The sequence below is a fragment of the Homo sapiens genome, chromosome 17 (assembly GCF_000001405.40).
Source record: "Homo sapiens chromosome 17, GRCh38.p14 Primary Assembly".
Classification (NCBI taxonomy): Eukaryota; Metazoa; Chordata; class Mammalia; order Primates; family Hominidae; genus Homo; species Homo sapiens.
The window spans coordinates 40,164,229-40,174,564 of NC_000017.11; the positions used below are offsets into that span (position 1 = coordinate 40,164,229).

The following is a 10,336-nucleotide window of genomic DNA, read 5'->3' on the forward strand; positions in this document are numbered from 1 at the left end:
GGACTTCTGTCTCAGGAAGGTGGTGTCTGACAAATGTCTACTTCTTTTTTTTTGAGACAGAGTCTCACTCTTTTGCCCAGGCTGGAGTGCAGTGGCGCGATTTTGGCTCACTGCAACCTTCGCCTCCCAGGTTCAAGTGATTCTCCTGCCTCAGCCTCCTGAGTAGCTGGGGTTACAGGCGCACACCACCACGCCCAGCTAATTTTTTTTTTTGTATTTTTATTTATTTATTTGTTTTGAGATGGAGTCTTGCTCTGTTGCCTAAGCTAGATGCAGTGGCACGATCTCGGCTCACTGTAATGTCCACCTCCGGGTTCAAGTGATTCTCCTGCCTCAGCCTCCCGAGTAGCTGGGAGTATAGGCGTGCACTACCACGCTGGGCTAATTTTTGTATTTTTAGTAGAGACCGGGTTTCACCATGTTGGCCAGGATGGTCTTGATCTCTTGACCTTGTGATCCTCCCACCTTGGCTTCCCAAAGTGCCGGGATTACAGGTGTGAGCCACAGCCACCGTGCCTGGCCTTTTTTTTTTTTTTTTTTTTTTTGTGACAGAGACTTGCTCTGTTGCCCAGGCTGGAGTGCAGTGGCACGATCTTGGCTCACTACAACCTCTGCGTCCAGGGCTCAAACAATTCTCCTGCCTCAGCCTCCTGAGTAGCTGGGATTACAGGCTCTCACCACCACACCTGGCTAATTTTTTTTTTTTTTTTTTGAGACAGAGTCTCACTGTTGCCCAGGCTGGAGTGCAGTGGTGTGATCTCGGCTCACTGCAAGCTCTGCCTCCTGGGTTCACGCCATTCTCCTGCCTCAGCCTCCTGAATAGCTGGGACTACAGGCGCCCACCACCGCGACTGGCTAGTTTTTTTTTTTGTATTTTTAGTAGAGACGGTTTCACCGTGTTAGCCAGGATGGTCTCGATCTCCTGACCTCGTGATCCGCCCACCTTGGCCTCCCAGAGTGCTGGGATTACAGGCATGAGCCACCGTGCCTGGCCCACACCTAATTTTTGTATTTTTCATAGAGATGGGGTTTCATTATGTTGGCCAGGCTGGTCTCGAACTCCTGACCTTAAGTGATCGACCCATCTTGGCCTCCCAGAGTGCTGGGATTACAGGCGTGAGCCACTGTGCCAGCCCCAGCTAATTTTTAAAAAATTTTTTGTAGTGATGGGTCTTGCTATATTGCCCAGGCTAATCTTGAACTCCTGGGCTCAAGAGATCCTCCTAAAGCGCTGGGATTACAGATGGAAGACACTGCACCTGCCCGGTCATCATTGAGCCTCCTGAGTACAGGATCATTTTCCACAAAAAGTAGAAGAAGACAACGTTATTATTTGAACTAATGGTTAAATATTTGAAGGCAGAAATTTATTCAGTTGAATTTTGATCAAGATCTTCTCTAATATATTTGAAAGGCAAGCCTCCCTTATTTCCTTAATCTTCTAGAGACAGATTGCCCAATAGAACTTTGTGTAATGATTGTACTTTTGTGTTTTTGTTGTTGTTGTGTTTACATAGATATAGTTTTTTTTTTTGTTTTTTTTTTTTTTTAGATGGGTCCCACTTTGTCACCCAGGCTAGAGTCTGGAGTGCAGTAGCGTGACCTTGGCTCACTGCAACCTCCGCCTCCAGGGCTCAAGCAATCCTCCCATCTCAGCCTCCTCAGTAGCTAAGATCATAAGCACACATCATTACACCTGGCTGATTTTTTTTATTTTTTGAAAAGACGGGGGGTCTCACTGTGTTTTCCAGGCTGGTCTTGAACTCCTGGGCTCAAGCAGTCTTACCTCTGCCACCCAGAGTGCTGGGCTTATAAGCATGAGCCACTGCATCCAGCCGGAATTGAACTTTTAATTAATTGAAACTTAAGTGTCCACATTTGGTTAGTGGATATCATATTGGGCAGCATAGTTTTAGAGAGTAAGACCTACCTATTACCCATTTTGCCTATTGTGGTTTGTTTTTCTCCAGCCAGATAGATCAAAGGATCTTCCCTTAGTCTGAAATCTAACTTAAATATTGGAACTCCTCAATTGGAGTTGCAGCACCCTTCTTACTATTGGAGGACAATCTCTAGAACATTCCTTTTTGTCTTGAGTCATTTTAGCCAGAGGAGAATCTCCTTTCAAACTTCCAACCCAGACCCCTGTGAATGGATATAATCAAGTAGATTTACAAAGCATCCCTCCCTTGTCCAGCTGTTGCTCAGAAACTCTTGGGCTGAGATTTTTCAATATGTTGGATAATGTAATGTGCTAATTATAATCTCTCAGGGATTCTATGCAGGGAACAATTTGATAGGAAAAAATTTGAATTTGATTTTCTTCACTGAAGTCATTTTATTTTTCATTTTCAAGGGCTTTATTGCTATATTAAGATGGCAGACAGTGGGGACAAATTTCTAAATGCTGGTGTTGACAGAAAGCAGAGATAGTTTATAGAGAATTTTATTAGTTAAAAGAAAAAAGGCATTCCTTATGTTGACACTTAAACCTGTCTCTTGATAGTATCTTTGAGTCCCACTCACGTATGTCTGATCTGCAGAAGTGACTTTTTTGGTGTATTACAGGTATGCCCAACCATATACACATGGGAGCAGGACCTCCACCTCAGTTTAACCGGATGGAAGAAATGGTACAGAAGGGGAAAGGGGTAGATGGGGGAGGGAGCTGCCTGTTACACAGCTTGTTCATTGTTTAAACCAAGATAAGGTCTTTTTTTTTTTTCTTTTCTTTCTTTCTTTTTTTTTGAGACAGAGTCTCGCTCTGTTGCCCAGGCTAGAGTGCAGTGACGGGATCACGGCTCACTGCAAGCTCTGCCTCCTGGGTCCCAGTTCAAGCAATTCTGCCTCAGCCTCCCGAGTAGCTGGCATTACAGGCACGTGCCATCATGCCCAGCTAATTTTTGTATTTTTAGTAAAGACAGGGTTTCACCATGTTGGCCAGGCTGGTCCTGACTCCTGACCTCATGATCCACCCACCCTGGCCTCCCAAAGTATTGGGATTACAGGCATGAGCCACCACGCCCGGCCAAGATAAAGTCAGTTTTTCCATTGATTATGCATGTTTCTTTTAATTTGGATCTCCTAAATGTAAGGTAGAAGGTTTAGGTTCAAATCTTGATATCTTTTCATTATTTTTCAGCTCACTTTGCAAATATCCATTAAATACCTGCCATGTACCAAGTGTTTTTCAACACCTAAAGGAAGGTAGGACTTGATATGAGAGCCCTCTAGAATTCTTATTGTTTAGGCCTCTTTCTTTGTCTCAGGGTGTCCAGGGTGGTCGAGCCAAACGCTATTCATCCCAGCGGCAAAGACCTGTGCCAGAGCCCCCCGCCCCTCCAGTGCATATCAGTATCATGGAGGGACATTACTATGATCCACGTGAGTTTTTTCTTACTGTTGGGGTACTTTTCTTGGCAGGGTGAAGTGAAGTAAGATACCAGGCTCCTGGCTCCTGAATTTCTCTTCTGACCTCTTATAGTGGTTATCAAACATTGTCTGGTTGCTGTTTTCTTCGCATGGAATATTGAGAACATCTTTTAAAGGGCTTGGGGAACAAGGAGACTTGTCCATGTGAAGAGTAAGGGTTTATGAGAGTCCCAATGTGATATCTTACAGTGCAGTTCCAGGGACCAATCTATACCCATGGTGACAGCCCTGCCCCGCTGCCTCCACAGGGCATGCTTGTGCAGCCAGGAATGAACCTTCCCCACCCAGGTAAGCTTTGTGTCTCTGCTTATATGCTTCCAGTACCTGAGGATATATGTTGGGAGTGCCACAAAACCCATCCTCCTGAGCTTTGTGCTGCTAGCCTGGGAGTCTGGCCATCCTGGCTGCTTGGGCAACAAGTTCCTCTTGTGTCCATCCTGAGGACTTCCATTCTGAGCCTGATTATACTGAGCAGTCCAGCCGGGCCATCCTGTGAAAATGATGTTACTTTATTTTTCAGTTTTTTTCTTCTCCTTATCCAGGTTTACATCCCCACCAGACACCAGCTCCTCTGCCCAATCCAGGCCTCTATCCCCCACCAGTGTCCATGTCTCCAGGACAGCCACCACCTCAGCAGTTGCTTGCTCCTACTTACTTTTCTGCTCCAGGCGTCATGAACTTTGGTAATCCCAGTTACCCTTATGCTCCAGGGGCACTGCCTCCCCCACCACCGCCTCATCTGTATCCTAATACACAGGTGAGATGGCTAATGATCATGTTTTTCTAGATACACATTCTTTAATTCAGACAGGAATGTGGTATGGGGAGAATGCTAAAGGAATTTGAGAGAACATTTTCAGTGCCACTGATTTGTATGTGACACCAAGACGCCTCTTAGTGGTCAGGAGCTGGAAATGCAGCTTATGTAATGCCCATCATCTTTATTCTTTTCAGTTTTTTTCTCCGTTGCCCAGGCTTGGAGTGCAGTGGCGTGATCTCGGTTCACTGTAACCTCCACCTCTTGGGTTCAAGCGATTCTTCTGCCTCAGCCTCCCGAGTAGCTGGGATTACAGTGCCTGCCACCATGCCCGGCTAGTTTTTGTATTTCTAGTAGAGATGGCGTTTCACCATGTTGGCCAAGCTGGTCTCAAACTCCTGACCTCAACCGATCCACCTGCCTCGGCCTCCGAAAGTGCTGGGATTACAGGCATAAGCCACCGCACCCAGCGTTCAGTTTCTTTAATGGTGTTTCTTTCCTGTGTTGTGGTACATCATAGGTGGCAATACCTGGTTTTTACTCTATTGCATAAAGAAGCTGTATTCTACTCCTTATCACCCCTACCTCTGTCCTGCTTAACTTCCACCACGTTGACATAATCAAGTATCTGTAGTGTCGCTACTGAACTCAGCCTTTTCCATTTGTCAGCTGATGGTAGGAATTAGAGAAAGCTGGGCAGTACTTTGAAGAAATAAAAACCAGAGCATAATAATGAAGAATTAAGGCAAAAATGAATAGTCACTTTATTTTGAAGGGTGGGCAGATTAGATATTTTTAAAATTATAAATTCCCCAATTCTCTTATGGCTGAATAATATTTCCTGTTCATCATAGGTTGGATGAATTCATTCCTAACTTTTTCTTCTCCTGGCTTGTGGGGTCCCAGGCCCCATCACAGGTATATGGAGGAGTGACCTACTATAACCCCGCCCAGCAGCAGGTGCAGCCAAAGCCCTCCCCACCCCGGAGGACTCCCCAGCCAGTCACCATCAAGCCCCCTCCACCTGAGGTATGAGAGTTCCTTCCTATACTTAATGCACATGCTCCGTCAGTGGGCTTTCCTTCTCCCCAGAGGATTTCCCTCATTTTCTGGGTGTGTTTCTCTGGAAAACAGTCTTTTTGTTATGACCTGATAACAAATTCCAACTTTGTTATTTCAGGTTGTAAGCAGGGGTTCCAGTTAATACAAGTTTCTGAATATTTTAAATCTTAACATCATATAAAAGTAAGTGCACAACTTACTGTGAATATTGTTAAAACTAATGCTCACACTTGCTTAATAAACAAAAATCACTTAATTAATGCTTTTTTTTTTTTTTTTTTTTTTTTTTTTTTTGAGACGGCGTCTCAGTCTGTTATCCAGGCTGGAGTGCAGTGGTGCAATCTCGGCTCACTGCAACCTCCATCTCCTGAGTTCAAGCGATTCTCTTGCCTCAGCCTCCTAAGTAGCTAGGATTACAGGCACGCACCACCACACCTGGCTAATTTTTGTATTTTTAGTGGGAATGGGGTTTCACCATATTGGCCAGGCTGGTCTTGAACTCCTGACCTCAGGTGATCCACCTGCCTTGGCCTCCCAAAGTGTTGGGATTACAGGTGTGAGCCACCCCACCCAGCCTCTGATTAATGCTTTAAGTTATAATAATCATGGGATATCTCAGGAGGCTTAAAGGAGTCCTGAAATTTGCCAGTTTGTTTGTTTGGCAAGTGTATTGGGCAGGGTTGAAGTAGAAACGATTGTTAACATGACAGTTTTCAATTGGGAAGCTACAAGGAAAAAATACAGGAAGGCAGTCAAGGAAAAGGGAAATCTAAATTTGAGATGTTATAGCAGAAAAAACCAGTTCTAAAGATCATAGAGGAGAAGGACTGGGGGTTTTGTTGCTTTTGTTTAAGGACATTACTTAAAACACATTATTTAGAAGTGTGGCTTTTTGAAAACAGCTTGTGAATGCCCAGAAGGCCCACTAACACTTTGGTGGTTCTTCCCTTTTTCCAACCCCTGTCAGAGCAGCAGAGGTGAGAACTCAGAAGAGAAATACAGCTGGCTATCTACTACCAGAAGGGCTTCAAAGATATAGGGTGTGGCTCCTACCAGCAAACAGCTGAAAGAGGAGGACCCCTGCCTTCCTCTGAGGACAGGCTCTAGAGAGAGGGAGAAACAAGTGGACCTCGTCCCATCTTCACTCTTCACTTGAGTTGGCTGTGTTCGGGGGAGCAGAGAGAGCCAGACAGCCCCAAGCTTCTGAGTCTAGATACAGAAGCCCATGTCTTCTGCTGTTCTTCACTTCTGGGAAATTGAAGTGTCTTCTGTTCCCAAGGAAGCTCCTTCCTGTTTGTTTTGTTTTCTAAGATGTTCATTTTTAAAGCCTGGCTTCTTATCCTTAATATTATTTTAATTTTTTCTCTTTGTTTCTGTTTCTTGCTCTCTCTCCCTGCCTTTAAATGAAACAAGTCTAGTCTTCTGGTTTTCTAGCCCCTCTGGATTCCCTTTTGACTCTTCCGTGCATCCCAGATAATGGAGAATGTATCAGCCAGCCTTCCCCACCAAGTCTAAAAAGACCTGGCCTTTCACTTTTAGTTGGCATTTGTTATCCTCTTGTATACTTGTATTCCCTTAACTCTAACCCTGTGGAAGCATGGCTGTCTGCACAGAGGGTCCCATTGTGCAGAAAAGCTCAGAGTAGGTGGGTAGGAGCCCTTCTCTTTGACTTAGGTTTTTAGGAGTCTGAGCATCCATCAATACCTGTACTATGATGGGCTTCTGTTCTCTGCTGAGGGCCAATACCCTACTGTGGGGAGAGATGGCACACCAGATGCTTTTGTGAGAAAGGGATGGTGGAGTGAGAGCCTTTGCCTTTAGGGGTGTGTATTCACATAGTCCTCAGGGCTCAGTCTTTTGAGGTAAGTGGAATTAGAGGGCCTTGCTTCTCTTCTTTCCATTCTTCTTGCTACACCCCTTTTCCAGTTGCTGTGGACCAATGCATCTCTTTAAAGGCAAATATTATCCAGCAAGCAGTCTACCCTGTCCTTTGCAATTGCTCTTCTCCACGTCTTTCCTGCTACAAGTGTTTTAGATGTTACTACCTTATTTTCCCCGAATTCTATTTTTGTCCTTGCAGACAGAATATAAAAACTCCTGGGCTTAAGGCCTAAGGAAGCCAGTCACCTTCTGGGCAAGGGCTCCTATCTTTCCTCCCTATCCATGGCACTAAACCACTTCTCTGCTGCCTCTGTGGAAGAGATTCCTATTACTGCAGTACATACGTCTGCCAGGGGTAACCTGGCCACTGTCCCTGTCCTTCTACAGAACCTGAGGGCAAAGATGGTGGCTGTGTCTCTCCCCGGTAATGTCACTGTTTTTATTCCTTCCATCTAGCAGCTGGCCTAATCACTCTGAGTCACAGGTGTGGGATGGAGAGTGGGGAGAGGCACTTAATCTGTAACCCCCAAGGAGGAAATAACTAAGAGATTCTTCTAGGGGTAGCTGGTGGTTGTGCCTTTTGTAGGCTGTTCCCTTTGCCTTAAACCTGAAGATGTCTCCTCAAGCCTGTGGGCAGCATGCCCAGATTCCCAGACCTTAAGACACTGTGAGAGTTGTCTCTGTTGGTCCACTGTGTTTAGTTGCAAGGATTTTTCCATGTGTGGTGGTGTTTTTTGTTACTGTTTTAAAGGGTGCCCATTTGTGATCAGCATTGTGACTTGGAGATAATAAAATTTAGACTATAAACTTGGCTCCCTTGCCAGTGTTTTGCATGAGTCTTGATTTGGGAGGGAGGGAAGAGGACTCCCTAATTCCCCCACAGGGTCACGGTCACAACTCAGGTCAGCCCAAGTTGTGAAACAGAAGCCCAGAGAGATGAGGAGCCCCTATGAGGCCATAAATGTGTCTGCACTCCCCATCAGTTATCTTTTTTAACCACATAGATCACCAGGATGTCATGCCATCCCTTAGATTGGAAGTGTCAGGGACAGAAAAGTAGTGAGATGCTGGTTATTCACATGAGCATCTAGTATCCTTTATGGCTTCCTTTGTGTTTGGCAAGTAAGTTTCCCAAGGTAATATGCCATCAGATGTCAATATAACTATACCAAGTCCTGGGTTGGGGGGAAGTACAGGTAGCTAGCTTTCTTGAAAAGTGAAGATGCTGCTGGCCACCGTGGCTCACGCCTGTAATCCCAGCACTTAGGGAGGCCGAGGTGGGCAGATCTCGATCAGGGAGATCGAGACCATCCTGGCTAAACAGGGTGAAACACTGCCTCTACTAAAAATACAAAAATAGCTGGGAGTGGTGGCGGGTGCCTGTAGTCCCAGCTACTTGGGAGGCTGAGGCAGGAGAATGATGGGAACCCGGGAGGTGGAGCTTGCAGTGAGCCGAGATTGCGCCACTGCATTCCAGCCTGGGCGACAGAGTGAGACTCCGTCTCAAAAAAAAAAAAAAAAAAAAGGAAAAGTAAAGATGCTGACACTAAAGTATTCAGGACCACACAGTCTTAGAGAGACTATCAGCTCAGGTAAGGGGAAGGGAATTTGTGTGTGTGTGTGTGTGTGTGTGTGTGTGTATTTTTAGTAGAAATTTTTGTATTTTTTGTACAACAAATTTTGTATTTTTAGTAGCAATGGGGTTTCACCATGTTGGCCAGGCTGGTCTTGAACTCCTGACCTTAGGTGACCCACCTGCCTTGGCCTCCCAAGGCCAAGTCTGAGTCTGTGTTCTTAATGTCCTTGCCAGTGGCTCTCCACCCTACCAGATCCAAAGTCACTTTTTTTTTTTTTTCTGAGACGGTCTTGCCCGTCACCCAGGCTGGAATGCAGTAGCACAATCATAGGTTGCTGTAACTTGGAACTCCAAGGTTCAAGCAATCTTGCCACAGCTTCCCAAATAGCTGTGACTACAGGCCCACACCACCATGCCCAGCTAATTTTTGTGGTTTGTTTTTAGTAGAGACGAGGTCTCAGTGTGTTACCCAGGCTAGTCTGGAACGCCTTGGTTCAAATGATCCTCCTGTCTTAGCCTCCTAGAGTGCTGGGATTACATGTGCAAGCCACTACACCCAGCCCCAATGTTCCTTTCTTATAACAAATATTTTGCAACACTAATATCCCAAAGTGAAATGGACAGATAACATAACCTGCCTGGACACATGATTTCAAAAAACAAATCAACTGTGGGTCATAATTCAGTTTACCTAGTCCACTTGGCCTTTGATGCTTAGAGGGCAGTTCCTACCTTTGAAGTGACTTTTTCCTCTAGGTCCTGGGTGGGATGGAAGTTTACTACAGAAGCTATCTCTGGTATGGGAGAGCAACTTTCATATGGAGCTGGCAGCATTTGTTGGGTTTCACAAATCCATACACGGGAGGCATAGATATCATAGTACATCTTTTTTTTTTTTTTTTTTTTTTTTTTGGTCTTGCTCTATTGCCCAGGCTGGAGTGCAATGGCACAATCGTGGCTCACTGCAGCTTTGACCACCTGGGCTCAATCAATCCACCCACCTCAGCCTCTCAAGTAGCTGAAACCACAAGCATGCACCACCACACCTAGCTAATTTATTTTTGTAGAGATAGGGTCATTGAATTCCTGGGCTCAAGTGATCCCGCTGTCTGGGCTTCCCAAAGTGCTGGGATTACAGGCTTGAGCTGCTGTGCCCAACTATTGTACATCTTATAAAGACAGATGGGACTTCCCCCATATCTTGGTGCTGGTGCCACAGCCAGAGGACTGTGACTTTTCTGAGCCCCGTCCCTAATTCCTTTTTTTTTTTTAGACTGAGTCTCACTCTGTCGCCCAGGCTGGAGTGCAGTGGCACGATCTCGGCTCACCACAACCTCCACCTCCCGGGTTTAAGCGATTCTCCTGCCTCAGCCTCCCAAGTAGCTGGGGTTTACAGGCGCCCGCCACCATGCCCCACTACTTTTTTTCTGTATTTTTAGTAGAGATGGGGTTTCACCATGTTGGCCAGGCTGGTCTCAAATTCCTGGCCTCAGGTGATTGGCTCAGCTTGGCCTCCCAAAGTTCTGGGATTACAGGCGTGAGCCACCACGCTGGGCCCCTAATTCCTCTTTAAATCATGTCAGTTTGCTTCTCTTCCCCACAATGTGATGGGTGACTGTAGGCCTGAT

At 45.7% G+C, this 10,336-nt stretch overlaps 1 protein-coding gene across 4 annotated transcripts in view, besides 1 other annotated feature; it reads left to right on the top strand.

Annotated features, from left to right (window-relative positions):
• The window catches only part of CASC3 (CASC3 exon junction complex subunit), a 31,635-nt gene extending 23,692 nt beyond the window's left edge, over positions 1–7,943 (top strand). For 2 of the 4 annotated variants that reach the window (XM_047435624.1, NM_007359.5), the window contains 7 exons: positions 2,569–2,633; positions 3,270–3,384; positions 3,622–3,720; positions 3,975–4,189; positions 5,096–5,218; positions 5,370–5,434; positions 6,219–7,943. In XM_047435624.1, coding sequence (XP_047291580.1) covers positions 2,569–2,633; positions 3,270–3,384; positions 3,622–3,720; positions 3,975–4,189; positions 5,096–5,218; positions 5,370–5,393 — 641 coding nt within the window. In that variant the 3' untranslated portion in view covers positions 5,394–5,434; positions 6,219–7,943. Of the gene's footprint in view, positions 1–2,568; positions 2,634–3,142; positions 3,385–3,621; positions 3,721–3,974; positions 4,190–5,095; positions 5,219–5,369; positions 5,435–6,218 lie in introns of those variants that run through there. The other 2 variants (XM_005257163.3, XM_047435623.1) reach the window with 2 other exon arrangements.
• Positions 3,836–4,395: an enhancer, noted in NCBI's record as "NANOG-H3K27ac-H3K4me1 hESC enhancer chr17:38324317-38324876 (GRCh37/hg19 assembly coordinates)". NCBI's record gives its function as "activates a minimal SCP1, AML or CMV promoter by ChIP-STARR-seq in primed H9 embryonic stem cells {active_cell/tissue: H9 hESC(primed)}" and the evidence as "EXISTENCE:reporter gene assay evidence [ECO:0000049][PMID:30033119]".